The sequence below is a fragment of the Homo sapiens genome, chromosome 17 (genome assembly GCF_000001405.40).
Source record: "Homo sapiens chromosome 17, GRCh38.p14 Primary Assembly".
In the NCBI taxonomy this organism is placed as follows: Eukaryota; Metazoa; Chordata; class Mammalia; order Primates; family Hominidae; genus Homo; species Homo sapiens.
The window spans coordinates 31,096,497-31,117,397 of NC_000017.11; the positions used below are offsets into that span (position 1 = coordinate 31,096,497).

Sequence of the window (20,901 nt, forward strand, 5' to 3'; positions counted from 1 at the left end):
TGCTGTAGGTAGTTGGGGATGGTTTAAGGGATGCTTTCTGCAGCTGTGGGTGCAGTGGGCTTCCTGTGATGGGGGAATTGTTTAAGATTGAGTCAACCTATTTTGTTTACTGGATATAATGGTAAAACATTATGGGAGCTGAAGGGGTGGGGGAAGAGCTCTTCTGTTATTTGATGCATAAACATTTCTTTACGGGACTCAGCGTTTCAGACCTACCTGGAAAATATCTTGGAATAGACAGAGGAAGTTGAGAAGAAGCTATGTAGATAAAATAGAGTTATGAAGCTGTCAGAGACTTGAAGGAATTGTTTTATCCATTCGTATGCTTCCAGACCCAAAGGCATCTAAACTAAACTACTAATCCATCTGAAGTATAATGTTACTGCATATAAAAGATTACATTATTGATAGAGCGTTAGATTTAAAACTTGGTAGAAAAGACTCTGTAATTTTAAGAAAGGATTTAAAAGGCACATAGAAGACTTCCAAAGCTGAACCTTGTGGACAGCAGAATCTGGATGTAGGAAATTGAAGGATCCACGCCGCAATTCTCCTTAAATTTTAAAAATTAAAAATTTTTTTCAGTTTTTTCTTAATTTTATTTTTTTACTTCTTACCTGTTCATCTCTAGGCTTATTTGCCATATTGGAAAAAGATACTTAAGAGAGGAATGATTTTGGGCTGGGCGCGGTGGCTCACGCCTGTAATCCCAGCACTTTGGGATGCCAAGGCAGGTGGATCACCTGAGGTCAGGAGTTTGAGACCAGCCTGACCAACATGGAGAAACCTCGTCTCTACTAAAAATACAAAAATTAGCTGGGCATGGTGGCGGGCGCCTGTAATCCCAGCTACTCGGGAGGCTGAGGCAGGAGAATTGCTTGAATCCGGGAGGTGGAGGTTGCAGTGAGCTGAGATCACACCACTGCACTCTAGCCTGGGCGACAGAGCGAGACTCTTGTCTCCAAAAAAAAAAAAAAAAAAAAAGGAGGAATGATTTTGATTATATACCCAGTAAAGCAAGAAAGTGTTTCTCCTTCTGTCCCTAGCTTTAAAAGACCTTAAGGCTTCGTTGTTTGTTATGCATATTGTGGAATCAAACTCACCACCATCTGTTAAAAATTAAGGACATTAGTTTTTAAAACAGCATTTTTCTGCATTCCTTATGTTGTAATTAAGAGAAAGATATATAGGAGAGATTATTCCTCACTTTTTTTTTTTGAGACAAGGTCTTGCTCTGTCGCCCACGCTGGAGTGCAGTAGCTTGATGTCGGTTCATTGCAACCCCTGCTTCCCACATTCACGTGATTCTCCTGCTTCAGTCTCCCAAGTAGCTGGGATTACAGGTGTGCACCATCGTGCCTGGCTAATTTTTGTATTTTTAGTAGAGACGGGGGTTTCACCATGTTGGTCAGGCTGGTCTTGAACTCCTGACCTCAGGTGATCTGCCCCCCACCCCCTGCTCGGCCTCCCGAAGTGCTGGGATTACAGGCATGAGCCACTGTGCCTGGCCTATTCCTCACATTTTTCTCTTAGAAAGTTAAAGTCTCTGACCTTGAGATACAAAAATGTAAGGGTTTTCAGTGTTTAACATAAGGTACTTATATATATTATATATAGTATATATATAAAATAAATTAATATATTAATTTATTATATAAGTGATAAATGTTTAATTCAAATTAGAGTTCACCTTACGGTTGAAAATGTCTTTTAGTCAGAAAACTGAGGCATGGGAAGGTTAAGTGACATAGATCTAATAAGAGCTTCAGTATGAAAAGTAGTGAATGCTTGACCATCAGGGAGATACTTTTCCTAAGTATCCCATAAAATTTGTTCTAATCCATTAAATATATTTAGAAGACTTTATTTTATTTTTTTTATTTTTGAGACGGAGTTTCATGATTCTTGCCTAGGCTGGAGTGCAATGATGCGACCTTGGCTTACTGCAACCTCTGCCTCCTGGGTTCAAGTGATTCTCCTGCCTCAGCCTCCCAAGTGGCTGGGATTACAGGCGCCTGCCACCACTCCTGGATAACATTTGTTATTTTTAGTAGAGTGCTGAGATTACAGGCGTGAGCCATCGCTTACATTTTTATTGAGGGGAGAAAAAGCCCTGCATGTACTGAGAGATAGTTGTATAAGAATCTTAAGAGTTGGCCGGGCGCGGCGGCTCACGCCTGTGATCCCAGCACTTTGGGAGGCCGAGGCGGGCCGATCATGAGGTCAGGAGATCGAGACCATCCTGGCTAACACAGTGAAACCCCATCTCTACTAAAAATACAAAAATTAGCTGGGTGTGGTGGTGGGTGCCTGTAGTCCCAGCTACTTGGGAGGCTGAGGCAGGAGAATGGCCTGAACCTGGGAGGTGGAGCTTGCGGTGAGCCGAGATTGCGCCACTGCACTCCAGCCTGGGTGACAGAGCGAGACTCCATCTCAGAAAAAAAAAAAAAAAAAAAGAATCTTAATAGTTTCAACTGTTTATAAAACTTTTGAATTTTGGATTATATTATCTGTACTTTGCTTTACTGGGCCCAGGGGGAGTTAAGCTTTCCTTCTTATTACAGCTAAGAGTTTGCCTGTTGGACCACTTAACGCCCCCAGGGAGCATGTGCATGTCTAAAGATGGCAACTCTGTTTATGATTGCTGTTTTGGTTGGATTTCTAATATTCGGTGTGATTAAAGCAGAAATGCATTTCTAGCCACTGCTGATTACAGACATATTGCACTCTGATGGGTATCGCTTAGCAACTTAGTGCAGTAGACTCAGTTAAAAGAAGTGGATGTGTGCCATATTGACATTTTGAGCTCACATTCTTGTGGGTAATATAAAATTCCTTAACCTGATAATATTGCAGCTAAACCTAGTATTTAGGGTCTAAGTTGAATGAGTATTACCAATTTTAGAAGTAATCACCTCCTTGGTTAGGGAAATGACAGTTGCACAGGTGGACAGCCAGAAAGCTGAATGTTATCAGTTAAATCTTACATCTCTCCTTAACCTGCCTTCGTGGTGCCAAATAGCAAGTTTCTAATTGAAACTGACAAATTGTAGGTGTGTAGCTTTTTTTTTTTTTTTTTTGAGACAGAGTTTCGCTCTTGTCTCCTAGGCTGGAGTGCAATGGGGAGATCTCAGCATACTGCAACCTCTGCCTCCTGGGTTCAAGCCATTCTCCTGCCTCAGCCTCCCAAGTAGCTGGGATTACAGGCGCCCACCACCACGCCTGCCTAATTTTTGTATTTTTAGTAGAGACGGGGGTTTCACCGTGTTGGCCAGGCTGGTCTCCAACTCCTGGCTTCAGGTGATCCACCTGCCTTGGCCTCCCAAAGTGCTGGGATTACAGGCGTGAGCCACCACGCCCGGCCATGTGTAGCTTTTAATTGTGGTTCATTAACCCAGTTTCTAAGCAAATTAGAACCTTCTGTGTATCTCCCCTAGTTCTGTATGCCCCACTGGTTCCTGTAGAGCTTTATTTCTGAAGGGAAGTATGGGAAAACTATGGATATTTGAACTAAAAAAAAAAAAAAAAGAATTAAAAAGAACTCCATCCCAAAATGATTTGTTGTAAATATGTTCATTTAAAGCAATTATATTTTCCATATCTGATCAAGCAAAAGTAGTACATAAAAGCCAAAAAACCCAATTTAAAGAATATGTTATGGAATAAACTCTGATTTTAGAGGTTGTAGTAGCATATTTGTTGTTCTCATACATTGAGTGTTCATCTGAATGTACGTTGAATATGCGGTGAGTGATTCACAGTATAAAATGATTGGCAAGTATCTTCGAAATTACAAACCACATACTGATTAGACAAATAGATTTGCAAAACTGAAGCTTTTTGGATTTAAAAAATATCTCCTAGCCTCATTCTTCAAGCCTGGTGTGTAATTTTTATAAGGCCTTATAGTAGTTGAAAATGAGTACTCTTTTATGGTGACGAATTCTTTATGGTGAGTGAGAAATAATGCTTATTCTTCCAATTTTAGTATATGTGGTGCTGAATCGAGCACAATAATGCTTATTCTTTGCTTCGGAATTTTTTAATTTATTATTATTGTTATTTTAAATTTTTATTTATTTATTTATTTTGAGATGGAGTCTCACTCTGTCGCCCAGGCTGGAGTGCAGTGGCGCGATCTCAGCTCACTGCAACGTCTGCCTCCTGGGTTCAAGCGATTCTCCTGCCTCAGCCTCCCAAGTAGCTGGGACTACAGGCGCATGCCACCACGCCCAGCTAATTTTGTATTTTTAGTAGAGACAGGGTTTCACCGTGCTAGCCAGGATGGGTCTGAATTTCTTGATGTCGTGATCCACCTGCCTTGACTTCCCAAAGTGCTGGGATTACAGGCATGAGCCACCGTGCCCGGCCCGGAATTCATCCTTTAGAAAGATTTCTTCCAGCTGTTCCTCAGTTCTCTGCACTCCCTTACACTTTCCACCTTATCTGTCTGGGAACTAATTTAGTCTTTATGTTGGCTGCTTTCTTTTCACTTTTCAGGCTAAGATTTCCTTTCTCTTGGAAATCAGACGTTTACTTGGTCCTGCAGCTCTCTCTCTGTGGACCAGTCTTTTTTGTTGTTGTTGTTGCCAGATACTCACCGCCTCTACTGTTTATCCACCCATTTCCTTTATAACTCTGAAAAGTAGCTCCTGCCTCTGCTTGATTGCTGTTTTCTTGAAAGTGATTACTTCTGGCAAAACATAGTGGTCATTGCTTAGTTGTAATGCCACTGTGATGTTCCACTCCCCCCGGAAACCAATCTCTTCCAGTTCCCAAGACACAATACTTTTCTACTGAATTGGAGTTCCTTAGCGGGGGTCTTAGTTTTGTTCTGCTATTCAGTGCCTTTGTCCCTATCCTAGCCATTAGCTTTCCTATAGATCCTTGATTTCCTCATCTGTTGAAAAAGAAATGGCTAGAAAATCTTTTAGATTCTTTCAAGTTTAAATATTCGATGATTTTAATATTCTAACAGCATGTCTCTGTGACCCAGCAGTCTATTGGGAGCTGACCCCACTTGATTTACCAAACTCTTTCCCATTATGCCTCTGCATGCACCTATGTTCCAGGCAGGTCACCTCAGTCTCTTCTGTGTGTATCATGCTTCTTCCCACTTCTTGGCCTTTATTTCTGCCAGTCTCTGCCTGAATGCTTTAATTCCTCCTTTGTGCTTTTCTAATTCCTGTCCATCCTTCAATGTTCAGCTCAGATTTCATTTTTTTTTTTTCCCCATGAGGTTGTTTCAGACTAAACTCTGCTATCTCACTTCTTGGTATCCTTGTTACCTGGAGTTTTACAGAACCACACAGTAAGTTTTCTTCCTTTAGGAGGATTGTTTGAACACAGCTTGGCTTTGTTTTCTTTTTTTCTTGTCTTTTTATCAAATGGAGTGCATACTTTCTGAAAAGCAAAGAACGCTATTTGAATTCTCTTCTAGTCACCCCAGTGCCCAGCACAGTCTTAAACACACAGAACATTGATGGAATGTTTTTCATATGATTCCTGGTTGAAGGGTAGACTGGCTAAATAAAAAAAGTGGTACTTTTGGCTTTGTTTTACTGAATTTTACTTCCATGTTTGCAATAGCCTAGGTCTGATAAGTGATATTTTAACTAGGAATGAGTAAGAAAATTAGCATAAAGAAGGAATTTATACATATTTATATTTCCTCCCATAGAGCAAACATGTTTTTTGAATCAGGTTTCAGATCTGATCAACTACTTTTGTAATTTTGGATTTGTCACTTACTGTTAGGATATTTTGCAATGGTGTGATAGAATATGAATGTGAAGCACTTTGAAAAGTCTAAAATTTTTCTAATATAAGATTTATATGTTTTCTTTATAGCTTATTATTATTATTATTTTTTGTGTGTGTGACAGAGTCTTGCTCTGTCACTCAGGCTAGAGTGCAGTGTAGCTTATTACTGATTATTGTGTTTTCATTAAATAAGGGAGAGTAGGCCAGGTGCGGTAGCTGATGCTTGTAATCCCAGCACTTTGGGAGGCCCATGTGGGAGGACTGCTTGAGGCCTTGAATTCAAGACCAGGCTGTGCAACATAGTGAGATGCTGTCTCTAAAAAAAATTAGTTGGGTGTGGTGGCATGTGCCTGTAGTCGCAGCTACTCAGGAGGCTGAGGCAGGAAGATCACTTGAACCCAGGAGTTCAAGCATACAGTGAGCCATGATTGTGCCACTGTACTCCAGCTTCGGTGACAGAGTGAGACCCTGTCTTCCAAAAAAAAAAAAAGAGAGCGTGACTAGTCTCTGGATATTCCTTTGTATGTACCTTGGCCAATATATACCTTACTTTAGTATCCATTGACAAGTTCTCTTTTTTCTTCTTCTTCATTTTTTTTTTTTTGAGATAGAGTCTCGCTCTATTGCCCAGGTTGGAGTGCAGTGGCACGATCTCAGCTCACTGCAAGCTCCACCTTCTGGGTTCAAGCGATTCTCCTGCCTCAGCCTCCCAAGTAGCTGGCATTACAGGCACGTACTACCACACCTGGCTAATTTTTGTATTTTTAAAAGAGACAAGGGTTCGCCATGTTAGCTGGTCTCAAACTACTGACCTCAAACAATCCACCTGCCTCAGCCTCCCAAAGTGCTGGGATTATAGGCATAAGCTGTGGTGCTGGTCTAATATTGTTACATTTTATTTTAAATGTTCCTGTTTTTTGCCCTACTCTTTTTATTTGACTTTTTAACCATTAGGAAATTAGATTCTTTTCTCAAATCTGCTTTATTATTATTATTATTTTGAGACAAGTTCTCGCTTTCTCGCCTAGGCTGGAGTGTAGTGGTACAATTTTGGCTCACTGCAACCTCTGCCTCCCGGGTTCAAGTGATTCTCCTGCCTCAGCCTCCCAAGTAGCTGGGATTACAGGCGTGTGCCACCACACCCAGCTAATTTTTTTGTATTTTTAGTAGAGGCAGGGTTTTACCATGTTGGCTAGGCTGGTCTTGAACTCCTGACCTGAGGTGATCCGCCCGCTTCAGCCTCCCAAAGTGCTGGGATCACAGGCTTGAACCACCGTGCCTGGCCCTATTTTTGTATTTTTACTATAGACGGGGTTTTGCCATGTTGGCCAGGCTGGCCTCAAACACCTGCCTCAGCCTCCCAAAGTGCTGGGATTACAGATGCAAGCCACTGCACCTGGCCTTAAGTCTGCTTTTAAAAAATGTTTTGGCTGGGTGCGGTGGCTCATGCCTATAATTCAAGCTTTTTGGGGGGCTGAGGTGGGAGGATCACTTGGGCCTCAGAGTTTGAGACCAGCCTGGGCAACAGAGTGAGACCCCATCTCTACAAAAAGTAAAAAAAACAAATAAAAAAAAAATCAGCCAGTGTGCATTGGTTGAAAGTAAAGAAAAGAAAAAAAACAGACAAATTAGCCAAGTGTGGTAGTATATGCTACTTGGGAGGCTGAGTCAGGATTGCTTGAGCCCAGGAAATTAAGGCTGCAGTGAGGCATGATTGCACCACTGCACTCTGGCCTGGGTGAGACCCTGTCTCAAAAAAAATTTTTTTTTTTAATATGGAGAAAGTATTTTTGTTTTTCGTTTTTTATTTGGGTACCGGCCACTGCACCCAACCAAACATTTTGTCCTTAAACAAAAGTTTAAGTCATATAATACAGTAGTAAGAATGCCTTATTTTTTACATCTTTGTTCTTTAAATTACTCAGATTGCTATGGGGCATTTTTGTTGTAGCTTTCAAATTTGGTATTCTGGGGTTCTATGTAGACTCTATATTGTTGCATTCTAACGACATACTTTTAAGGATAAGCAGCGTATTAATTAAAAATGTGTTTTCCACTTGTGTTCCTTAGGTCTGCGTATATTTTGGAGGTGTGTGTGTATATAAGTCAAGGGACAGGAGGTATCGGAAGGCTCTAAAGGAAGTTTAAGGAGGAGAATATTCTATAGAAGTGGAAGGGGAGATTTGTGGTCAGCTTAAACTGTTAAAAGGCTTGGGATCAATACCGAAGCAGAATATGAGCATCTTAATCTGTTTCTTTGCAAAGGATTGACTTGTATTTATAAAAGCATTGGCTTGTTTCATCTGACATCTTTTAAAGTACCCCATTTTCTTGGGGGCGGGAAGGGAGAGATGAGACCATTTGTTTTGATCTTGAAGGACAGAAAAGTGGTTTTACGTTGTAGTGACTGTGAATTAAGTTTAAGGTCTCAGCAAGTTGTAAATTTCTGTATCATACTATGTGGTAGAGCCTTCAGTAAACAGAGTACTCTCAGGTGTTTAATGCTATAGGATATAAACTATAACTGCTGTTTATAGTACCCTCGCTAAATTCTCTTAAAGGCAATCCATTTGACCACTTCAAATGTTATATGCCTGTGATATATAGTTATATTCTCTGCATATAACTGGTTTTTAAAAATTGTTTATTATTCATTTATTTTAGAAGTGAGGTCTCTCTTTGTTCCTCAGGCTGGAGTGCAGTGGTGTGATCATAGCTCACCATAGCCTCGAACTCCTGGGCTCAAGTGATCTCCCACCTCCCGAATATCTAGGACTATGGGCGTGCGCCACCATACCTGGCTATTATTTTAATTTTTTTCGTAGAGACAGTGTCTTGTTATGTTGCCCAGGCTGGTCTCAAACTCTTGGCCTCAAGCAGTCTTCCCACCTGGCTTCCCAAAGCACTGGAATTACAGGCGTGAACTACTGTGCTGGGTCCTGAGTGGCTTTTGAGCCACTGACTATATCATCAAAAAGCTTCTGTTGAGACAAAGCCTCAAGCTAGTGTGGAGTTCATCCTACTAAAATGAAGAATTGGCATTATGTTCTAAAACTTTACATATTCTTACCATAAATGGTACTAATTACTTTGCAGTAGCAGTAACTTGAGGTGCAAACTTCCAGATTGCATATTTTCTTTAAACCATAGTCTGGCACTCACGGTTTGGCTTAGGGTTGCCACTGCAGTCCACAAGCTGTCGCCTGCCCTTATTCATATTTTATAGCTTTGAATGTCTTATTCCATTGAACTTCAGATAACTTTTTTTTTTTGAGATGGAGTTTTGCTCTTGTTGCCCAGGCTGGAGTGCAATGTTGTGATCTGGGCTCACTGCAACCTCTGCCTCCCAGGCTCAAGCGATTTTCCTGCCTCAGCCTCCCAAGTAGCTGGGATGACAGGCATGCGCCACCATGCCCAGCTGATTTTGTTTTTTTAGTAGAGACAGGGTTTCACCATGTTGGTCAGGCTAGTCTTGAACTCCCAACCTCAGGTGATCCTCCTGCCTTGGCCTCCCAAAGTGCTGGGATTACAGGCATGAGCCACCGTGCCCGGCTGAGAACTTAACTTTTTCTGATGAAATTCTTTCCTGCTCCACCTAACTCCCGTGTCCCACCCCCACCAGCAGAGTGGTATATCTAGCACAAGAGGCATGAAATTAATTTAGTAAATAGCAGGACTACTAGAAACTTTTAAGGATTATTTAACTTATTTTTAATCAAAATTTTATACTCAGATAATGACCTTTTGGGAAGTTATGTCTCTTAATGATCTCAAGTGGTGACACTTTTCTGTTGACACGGTTTCTCTTGGGTAGTTCTCATAGTAGTTTGGGCATGAGAAAACAACTTTTACCACTTTAGACTTGTGAGGGCAGCCTACTATGTAGTAAAAGAAAAAGCTTTTGATTGTGCAACTTGCAGTGTGGTCTTGGGGAAGTCTCTTAACCTCTCTGAACATCAGTTTTCTATATTTTCATGTGTAAAATGGGCATGATACTTACCCTTCTCACATCATGGGCTTGTTTAATGACTTAGGTATGAATCTTATATGAAAGGAAGCTGTAAACAGTCATAAAAATGTATTAGCATCTGTGCAGTATTTTTTTTCTATCCATTCTTTATAATTTGGTGGTTATTATTTCTACTCTACATGAGAAAAAAGTTACAGAGGCAAAACATGTTCACAATCATATGATTATATAATTAACTGAGTTAAACTAGAGTATGGATGTCTTGACCCTTAGATCACTATCTTTCCAATAAATAGTTTTAAAAGTCTAAATTTTACTAACAGGTAGTACAAATATGCAAAATGAGGGATGTATGATTGCTTCTTCACTCGAAGATGGTATATTATGTTTTTCCTTTTAAGTTCATGTTAGAGTATCTGAATCTTTTCAAGTTGGTTAGATGTTAGAAATAGATGTAAATTTTAAGCATTATATATCCTTGATTTCATTATGTATTATTCTCCTGGTCACTTTATCAAAACTTCTTCAGCTGTTAGAAGTTGTAACATTGTTTCCCTTTTATTTAGTTATATAATACACTTATTGTACATTCTTAAGTGGGAGAATAGAATTTGTGAGAATACCAACAGAAATACACATACAGCTATAAATATGAGATTATGATTCTTTCATGTTGGCATTGCACAGTCTATTTTTGTAAAGTTGGTTTTTATATTCTAAGAACATTTTACTTAGAGTTTGATTACATTTGAGGCAAACTTTTCAACTTTGGTAGTATTTGAATGAAGATTCCTGGATGTGGTTTTTTTAATTGTTACATCTACTTTTTCAGTTTTTCTTTTTCCCTATAACAACCCTCAAATCCTTCATCTTGTCTTTTGGAGTATTTTTTTCTATCCTCCTGTCTTTATCGGTGCCTTCTATTCCTGTCCCACCTTGGGTCTGGGAAAATGTGCCTTTATGCTCCATGTGAGTCTTCTTCCTTTTGGGTAATGAGTGCGGAGGGAAAAAAAGCACAGTATTTCTTTCCCTGTTATGTTTCAGTTTTTGGCCTCTGATAAGTGAATCTGGAGTAGGGAATGACAGTGATAGTAGGTTTTGTTTTAGTCATATATTGGCGACAAAGATCAACGAAGACCTGAAGCTCTTGTTCCTCTCATGACACAAACTACCCACAGGTGCATGCCACCATGCCGGGCTAGTTTTTAAATTTTTTGTAGAGACGAGGTTTCGCCATCTTGCCCAGGCTGGTCTTGAATTCCTGGACTCAAGCGATCTTCCCACTTCGGCCTCCCAGAGTGCTGGGATTACAGGCATGAGCCACCGTGCCCAACCGAGATTCTGTCTCTGAAAAAATAAATAAATAAATAAAATAAATACATAAAAATAAAATAAAAACATTTGAAGACATCTTAAGTACACCCTAGATTCCCACCCCCACCAAAAAATTTCATTCATTCTTCAACCATTTCTCAAAGAACATGTTTTCAAGACACCTCACTATCCTAATTGTTTTCCTTTTGGTGCAATGGTGGTCAGTACTCAGGCATACCATTTTTTATCTTTCCTCCCAATGTTGTATGAGGGCATTATATGAAACTTAAATGGATTTAAAAATGCTGAGCTTGCTGGACATGGTGGCTCACACCTGTAATCCCAGCACTTTGGGAGGTGGGGGAGGGAGGATTGCTTGAGCCCAGGAGTTTGAGATCAACCTGGACAACACAGCTAGTATGCACAAAAAAATAAAAAAAGTAGCTAGGCGTGGTGGTGCATGCCTGTAGTCCCAGGTACTTGGGAGGCTGAGGTGGGAGGATGGCTTGAGCCCAGGAGGTTGAGCCTGCAGTGAGTGGTGTTTGTGCTACTACACTCCAGCATGGGTGACAGAGTGAAACTCTGTTAAAAAAAAAAAAATGCTGAGCTTCAGGTACAGTATATTTTTGGTATGCATTTGATTACCAGTACAGTATACCTATCAAAAATGTTAATTCACATGTTTTAAAATAAAAAGTTTCCAACATAAAAGTAGAGAGTTTTTTTTTTTTTTTTTTTTTTTTTTTTCTGAGACAGAGTCTCACTCTATTACCCAGGCTGGAGTGTAATGGCACGATCTTGGCTCACTGCAACCTCTGCCTCCCAGGCTCAAGCCATCCTCTCTCTCAGCCTCCCGAGTAGCTGAGATCACAGGTGCACACCACCACGCCTGGCTAAATTTTTTGTATTTTTTGTAGAGACAGGGTTTTGTCATATTGTGCAGGTTGGTCTCGAACTCCTGACCTCAAGTGATCCACCCGCCTCAGTCTCCCAAAGTGCTGGGATTACAGGCGTGAGCCACTGCACATGGCCTAGAGAGATGTTATAAATTAATCCTTTTGTATCCATTACTCAATTTCTCCCTAGTCTTATTTCATCCGTATTCCTACCCATTTCCTGCTCACTACCTCTTTATTATTTTAAAGCAATCCTATATATCATTTCAGCGTGATTTATTCTTATACTGACTTTAAGAGCTGTGTAATATAAAAACAACTCAATTAGGAATCAGAAGACTTGACTTTAAGTCTTAACTTTCTACTGGAATGAGTTAACAGGGGGGCAAGCCAAGCTGTATGAGCCCTGAATTCCTAATATGTTGAAGAGAGTAACACGTGGTGGAGGGGACATAATGTTACCTGCACTTTTTCACAGGGATCTATGAGAATCAAAGATAGGAGGTAATATGCATGAAAGTATTTTGTCTACTCTAAACTCAAAAGCAAAAGTGCTTTACAAAGGTAAGATTTTATTAGTAAATGCTGCTTCCCTGTATAAGTGCTAACAACTCATGCCTAATCAGTCTTAGAATTATCTGGATGCTGACATTAAATTAAGTCCATAGTATTAAAATCACCCTTTCACCTTTACCCACTCTTGGATTTTGACAATTGCAACAACATTTTCTCATTCCCAATCTGGCTCCTGTTACTTTTCATGACTTCTGCAAGTTCACTGACCACATTTCTCTTACCATATTTCTAAATTTTCATCTGTATCTTGGATTCATGTACACTTGAGCTCAGGTAAAACAGGGAGGTGGGCTCTTCATGCTTTATGTATCTAAGTTCTGATGACTCTCAGCAATGCTTTTTTTCAGATTTGAAGATCATTTTCTTTTTTTTCTTTTTCTTTTTTTTTTCTTTTTTGAGTCACTGTCACCCAGGCTGGAGTGCAATGGCGCGATCTCGGCTCACTGCAACCTCCGCCTCCCAGGTTCAAACGATTCTTGTGTCTCAGTCTTTCGAGTAGCTGGGATTACAGGCACCTGTCACGATGCCCGGCTAATTTTTGTATTTTTAATAGAGAAGGTGTTTCACTGTGTTGTCCAGGCTGGTCTCGAGCTCGTAACCTCAGGTGATCCTCTTGCCTCGGCCTCCCAAAGTGCTAGGATTACAGGCGTGAGCCACCATGCCTTGGCCTCATTTTATTTTCAACTAGAACAATTAGAAATAAAAATTGAGTTGAATAGTTCTGCTTTTAATGACCTATTGGTGCTGGAATCATGGACTCTAGTGATTCTTGTTCTTCTTTCCTCATCTTTTTGATCCTAATGTATTTTAAAAGCCTTTACATATTTTTGTCTTTAACATTTCTAGTTATTCTGAACTTTTGTTTTAACTCTTCTGTTAATTTATCCATTGTGTGTAGTGTGTATTTTTTCTTAAATGTCCTTATAAATACTGAGCTGTGGGGGAGGGGAGAGGAGGAGCAACTGGTGCAGGCACGCTAGTTTCTTTAGAAATGTCAGCTCTGCCAGATCACTTAAGACTTGTTAAAAGTACAGATTTCCTGGCTCTACTAAACATCGTGTGATTTCTAGAGGTCCCAGGTCATTTTTGACATAAAGCTGGGTTTGTAAACCACTGCTGTGTGATATACAGGGAGAATTTAATTTCTGGGTGGTATTTAATAGGTCACAGTACAGTCATATATATCACTGCAACAAGTTAGAAAACCACAATTGGATGAACTTTAAAAATCAATACTAAAAAAAATATTGGAGAGCTATGGATGTAATGAGGACTAGATGAATTAGAATTCCAGAAATAGAAGAGATCTTTATAGGTGAGCAGAGGATTGCTGACATTTGCTGATTCTGGACACACACTGAAGGAAAAGGAAACTAGAGAGGAAGTGCATTTTACTAAAACTGCAACATATCCCTGGCCCAGTTCAATTCCTGATTGGACTGAGGTGATCAGCCTATCTTATCCCTTTTGCCTAATAGAGGAAATAGACAGCTCTTACTGAGGAGATATATTCTGGGGTTTCTATGGTTCTTTCGTTTATAATACTATCATACTATTAACTATTCTAGAGATGTGAAAGGGTGGAAAAATTCAAGAGAAAAATAAAACTTATAGAAGCAGACTCAGAAAATTGAAGTTCATCAGACAAAGACTTATTTTAAAATAACTATAATATACTTAAGAAAATAAAGGAAAATACGGAGAAAATGGATGAAAATTTTCATAGAGAATTGGAATCCACAGAAAGAAACCAAATGAACATTCTAGGAATCAAAAACACAACGTTGGTTGCTTAAGGTCTTTATTTGTAGTTTAATTAGAAACTTTGGCGCAGGACTCTAGGACACTCCACCTCCCCCTCATTCTTTACTGTTCTTAAAAAACAAAAACAAAAACAAAAAAAACCCAGGTAAATTTAATGTATACTATTTAAGTTCCACGAGAGCAGGGCCTATGTCTGTTTTGTTCGTTGTTGTACTCCCAGGGCTTAGTATAGTGCATGCCACATTAAAAAACAAAACAAGACAGAACAAAATCTTCCTTAACACCACCATCACAAACCCCCCCATTAATAATTAATTGACATTAATCTGAAATTAATTATTCATTGTACCGGTTCAGTAGCAGACTATACACAGCAGAAGGCAAGACTAGAGAGCTTGTGGACAGATCAATAGAAAATATCTAGATAAAAGCACAGAAAAAAAAAAAAGAATGGAAAGAGTAGAACAGAGCCTCTGAGACATGTGGAACATTAGTAAAAAGTCTAATGTGTAATTGGAGACCCAAAAGTAGAGAGATTAGCATGGAAGCAAATACTTGAAGAGGTAATGATAAAATATTTTCCCAAACTGATGAAAGGCATCAACCTATAAATTCAAGTAGTTTAGCAAACCCCAAGCAGGATGAACACAAAGAAAACTACACTTAGCATATCTTAATGGAACTGTTGAAAACCAGAAACAAAGAGAAACGCTTAAAAGCAGCCAGAAGAGGGGAAAAAAGGCACTGTGTTCAAAGGAACGATATAATACAACTGATGGCTGACTTTTTAATACAACTGTGGAAACTGGGAAATAACAGACATTTTTTAAATGTTGGCAAAAAAACCTGCCAAGCTAGAATTCTACCTTCAGCAGAAATATCCTTCAGACAAGAAGGCGAAATAAAGACATTTTTAGACAATCAAAAGCTGACAATTTATGACCAGCAGACCTGCACTGTAAGATTACTGAAGGAAGTTTTTTAGGCAGAATGAAAATATCTCAAATGGAAGTACAAAACTGTAGGAAATAATGAAGAGCACACACTCGGGTAAGTGTGTGAGTAAATAGACAAGACCTATTGCCTCTTGTTTTTATTGCTGTTTTTAGGAACTTTATTGCTTTTTGCTATTCTAGAATAATAGAATTTCCACAGCTTTTAGGTTAAGGTAAAATTGCCATCCAATCAATAAACTGCACATATTTAAAATGTATAATTTGATGAGTTTTGATATACATATAAGCCTTTGATACCATCACCACAATCAAGATGAAGAACATATATTACCGGCAAAAGTTTTCTCCAGCCTCCTTATAATCCATTCCTACCTCCATCCCATCCCTAGGGAACCCTTGAGCTGTTTTTGTCTCAGTGGATATATCATAAGTTGTTTATCCATTCACTTGTTGATGGATAACTGAAGACAACTCAAATTTTCACCATTACAAATAAAGTTGTCTTGAAGATTCATATACATGACTGTCATTTCTCTTGAGTAAATACAAAGGAGTAGAAATGGGTGGATCATATGGTGGATGTATATAATAATGTTACAGGATATTATATTCTGTAATATTTTAAGAGGCCACCAAGCTGTTCCTAAAGTGATTGTATCATCTTACAGCAGTATATGAGAGTTTCAGTTGTTCCACATCTTTGCCAACACTTATTTAACCTTTTCTTTTAAATTACAGCCATCCTAGTGGGTATGAAGTGGTGTCTCATTGTGGTTTTGATTTGCATTTCCCTAATGACTCATGATATTGAGCATCTTTTCATGTGCTTATTTACCATCTGAATATTTTCTTTGGTGAGCTGTTTATCTCTTTTGCCCATTTTTAAAAAATTGGGTTTTACTGGAGTTTTCAGAATTCATAATATATGCTGAATACAAGTTCATCAGATAAATGATTTGCAAGTCTTCTAGTTTTTCCTTGTTTTTTTGTTCTCAAAGTCTTTCAAAAGCAGATGTTCTTAATTTTTCTGAAGTCCACCTTATCAATTAAAAAATAGATCATGTTATTGGTATATCTAAGGTATCTTTTTCTAATATAAGGTCACAAATTTTTCTCCTCTGTTTTCTGTAGAAATTTAGGATTTATACTAACGTTTGTGGCTCATTTTTAGTTAATTTTTGTATTTGTGCTATGTGCCTGTTATGCCAATACCACATAGTCTTAACTATAAAAGAGCTTAACTATATAAACTATAATAAAATATCAAGTCAGGTAGTATAAGTCCTCCAGCTTTCTTGTTTCTCAGAATTGTTTTGACTAGTCTAGGTCTTTTGTTATCCTTGTATGGTTTCGGATTGGCTTGTCAATTTCTATTAAAAAGCCAGTTTTGATAGAGATTCTGCTGAGTCCATGGATCAACTTTGGGAAGATTGCCATCTTAACAGGTATTGTTTTTTAGTTTCAATTTTTGATTGTTGCTAATATATAGAAATACATGGATGTTTATTGATCTTGTTTGTTTTTATTTAGGCCATAGATTTTTTTCTTTTTCTTTTTAAAGACAGGGTCTTGCTCTGTCCCCTAGGCTTCATAGCTCACTTCAGCCTTGAACTCCTGAGCTGAAGTGATTCTCCCAAGAAGCTAGGACTACAGGTACATGCCACCACGCTCGGCTCATTTTCTTATTTTATAGAGACAGGATCTTGCTGTGTTTCCCAGGCTGGTCTCGAGCACCTGGCCTCAAGCTGTCCTCTCGCCTCGGCTTCCCAAAGTGCATGAGTCACTGAACTTGGCCAGGCCGTAAATTGTTTTGAGACAGGGTCTTGCTCTGTTGCACAGGCTAGAGTGCAGTGGTGCAATCATGGCTTACTGCAGCCTTGACCTCCTGGGCTCAAGTGATCCTTCCACCTCAGCTTCCTCAGTAGCTGGGACTGTAAACACTCACCACGATGCCTGGCTAATTTTTGTAGAGACAGGGTTTCACCATGTTGGCCAGGCTGGTCTCAAACTCCTGACCTTAGGTGATCCATCTGCCTCGGCCTCCCAAAGTGTTTGACCACTCAGCCTTTATACAGATATTTCATCTTCTTTACAAGAAGAAAAACACTCTAAGCTCTTGCCTAAAAAGATGAAAATGTTCTTTGTAAAAATGAGGATGTCCTTACCCTCTTCCCAAAATGAGGAGCAGAGTCTCATAATTGTATTGATTTCTGGGGGACATTCACACTATCTATTTCTAGGCTGTGTTAATTATGCCTCAAATTCATAGTTCCTTCTGAATATCCTGTTACCTAGGGACTAAATTGTAAAGTTAACCTTTAATAAAGTTTGAATAACATAGAGAAGAAGAGGGAAGGAATTGATTTATAAACTTGCCCGTTTCCCTGTAATAAGGAAGAAAATATGTATAGCTGCTGTAGACCTTGCTTCTGTAACTGGTTGAGAGATTGTAGTTCATATTTATAACTACTTCTGCTGTACATTCCATGTTTCCTTTGTTCTCATTCAAGATCTCAGCTGGTGGGGTAACCTAAATCTTCATTAATAAAGAATATGGCTTTGGGAGGCTGAGGCGGGTGGATCACGAGGTCAGGAGATCGAGACCATCCTGGCTAGCACAGTGAAACCCCGTTTCTACTAAAAATATAAAAAATTAGCTGGGCGTGGTGGCGGGTACCTGTAGTCCCAGCTACTCAGGAGGCTGAGGCAGGAGAATCGCTTCAACCCAGGAGGCAGACGTGGCAGTGAGCTGAGATCACACCACTGCACTCCAGCCTGGGTGACAGAGTGAGACTGTCTCACAAAAAAGAATAAAAAAAAAAAAGAAAAAAAGACCATGGGCCGGACATGGTGGCTCACGCCTGTAATCCCAGCACTCTGGAAGCTGAGGTGGGCAGGTCACAAGGTCAGGAGTTTGAGACCAGCCTGGCCAACATAGTAAAACCCTGTCTCTACTAAGAATACAAATATTAGCTGGGCGTGGTGGCAGGCGCCTGTAATCCCAGCTACTTGGGAGGCTGAGGCACAAGAATCACTTGAACCCGGGAGGTGGAAGTTGCAGTGAGCCAAGATCACACCACTGCACTCCAGCCTGGGCGACAGAGCAAGACTCTGTCTCAAAAAAAGAAAAAAAAGAATACAAATCTTTGGTGGTCCTGCTTCATGTGTGTGCATGCCTGTGGCTGTGGTTTTCCATTAAGTTTTGCTCTTATATATATAGGTTTAGAAAAACATTTCAGGGAATCCTCAGGGTTCCAGACATAGTCCTCTTTGTCCCCATTATGTAGCAACAGTACAGTATCACCTAGTAATAGGACTGAATTACATCAGCTAATAGAATAACCCCCTTCTTTGACTGTTGATGTAGTGCGGTGGTTCTTAGGACAGTTTTACCTCCCAGGGGACATTTGGCAATGCCTGGAGACATTTTTAATTGTTATGACTTTCGTGGGGGTGGGGGAATGCTACTGGCATCTAGTGGGTAGAGTTCAGGGATGCTGTCAGGCATCCTGAAATGCACAGGACAGCCCCCAAGAGTAGAGACTGATCCAGTCCAAACTGTCAGTAGTGCTAAGATTGAGAAATTCTGATTTAGTGGTATGGAGGCAGTGGTCATGAGGTAGTTGTTACTTCCAGTTCAGTGGAACTGTGTGGAATCATTCCCTGCTTGGGAACCAAGGCCTCCAATCCAGCAGATATCAAAGTCGTAGGTACTTGAAACAAAACTTCTGCTAATGGAATTTTTAGGAATAATAGAGGAACTACTTCTACTTGTGCCCCTTGATTCTCAGGCCTTTGTATTCTAGCTATGGGGAAAACAATATTGTATATTGCTCATTGATCCACTGTAACTGAGTGAGTCTTCAGTAGTCCATTCTGTTAGACCAGCTGCTTCTGGGTGATGGAGTATGTGGTAAGACCAGTGATTTCCAAGTTCCATAACCCATTCCTGCATAACCCTTTTTCTGTGAAATGAGTACCTTGATCAAAGTCTTGTTGAGTAGTATACCTTGATGATGAACAAGGTGTCGCCCATGTCCTTGATGGTGATGCTGGCAGAAGCACTGTAGGCAGGGAATGCATATTCATATTCAGAATATGTTGGTGCCAGTGAGGACAAATTCTTGTCCCCTCCATGTATGTAGAGTTTTTGTTTTGTTTTCTTTTTTTAAGGTATGGTATTATCCACTGTCATTAATATTTTGGAGCATTTTACTTCCACATTAAAAAAGATCAAAATAGGTAATAATTATCTGACCAAGAAATGTTTTAAATAAATTGTAGACTTATGACAGCTATATCATCTATCTAAAAACCTTGGAGTAACTGTAAAATAGTGACTTTTGAACTGTAGACTTTACTCATGCAGATATCTCACTAATTTTGTTGAAATCTACCAGATAGAAATCCATTGTTATGGGTTGTATGGTTGAAAACTTTTTAGGCTGTCATTTGTTTCAAGATACAGATTGACTCGGTATACTTTAACATTTCTCATAGTTGGCCAAATTTAGGTAAAACTATTTAATTTCATTGAACGTTTTAGGGAAAATGCCTGAATATTAATAGAGATAGGATGAATTAAATTAAAGAACTTACCCTTTGAAAAATTGCCAGGGTTAGCAATTTTTATGCTAACCCTGCATAAAAATTGTGCGTGGTGGTGTGTGGAGTGGTGTATATGTTTCAGAGAAATAATATAAATGTTCAGATAAGAGTATCTGCGTAATCTAACTAGGACCTGTCTAACCTACCTGCTTAAGGATAGAGGAAATCTTGAGAGACTTGAAATTGAAGAACTTAAAATTTTAAGTCTTCCCTTTCAAGGCCCTATCAAAACATCATGACCACATCTTTGAAATAGTTACTTTTATCACTCAATATAGTTAGAAAATTTTATTTTTAGAACTCCAAAATCATTTTATTTTATTTTATTTATTTATTTTTTTCGAGACGGAGTCTTGCCCTGTCGCCCAGGCTGGAGTGCAGTGGCGCCATCTCCGCTCACTGCAAGCTCCGCATCTTGGTTTCACACCATTCTCCTGCCTCAGCCTCCCGAGTAGCTGGGACTACAGGTGCCCGCCCCCATGCCCAGCTAATTTTTTTGTATTTTTTTTTTTTTTAGTAGAGACAGGGTTTCGCTGTGTTAGCCAGGATGGTCTCGATCTCCTGACCTCGTGATTCACCTTCCTCGGCCTCCCAAAGTGCTAGGGTTACAGGCATGAGCCACTGTGCCTGGCTCATTTTATTTTTATTATTATTTTTTGAGATGGAGTCTCACTATTGCCCAGGCTGGAGTGCAGTGGTGCTATTTTGGCTCACTGCAACCTCTGCCTCCTGAGTTCAAGCAATTCTCCTGCCTCAGCCTTTGGAGTAGCTGGTACTACAGGCGTGCCGCCACGCCTGGCTAAATTTTTGTATTTTTAGTAGGGATGGGGTTTCACCATATTGGCCAGGCTGGTCTTGAACTCCTGACCTCAGTTGATCCTCCTGCCTCAGCCTCCCAGAGTGCTGGGATTATAGGTGTGAGCTACCGTGCCTGACCTCCAAAACCGTTTTTATTAATTATATTCTTTATTAAGTATATGTTTGATAAAGACAAGCATTTTTCCTTTTTTCACTGTTACATTCTTTCTGTTTAGAATAGTGATTTGCGGCCAGG

The 20,901-nt window shown here is 39.6% G+C and overlaps 1 protein-coding gene across 3 annotated transcripts in view, besides 1 other annotated feature; it reads left to right on the top strand.

Moving 5' to 3' along the window:
- Positions 1-20,901, top strand: part of NF1 (neurofibromin 1) — a 282,699-nt gene that overhangs the window by 1,520 nt on the left and 260,278 nt on the right. The window lies entirely within an intron of this gene.
- Positions 7,167-7,348: a silencer, noted in NCBI's record as "fragment chr17:29430681-29430862 (GRCh37/hg19 assembly coordinates)". NCBI's record gives its function as "represses an EF-1alpha promoter that drives an FKBP-Casp9 reporter gene in an ReSE screen in K562 erythroleukemia cells {active_cell/tissue: K562}" and the evidence as "EXISTENCE:reporter gene assay evidence [ECO:0000049][PMID:32094911]".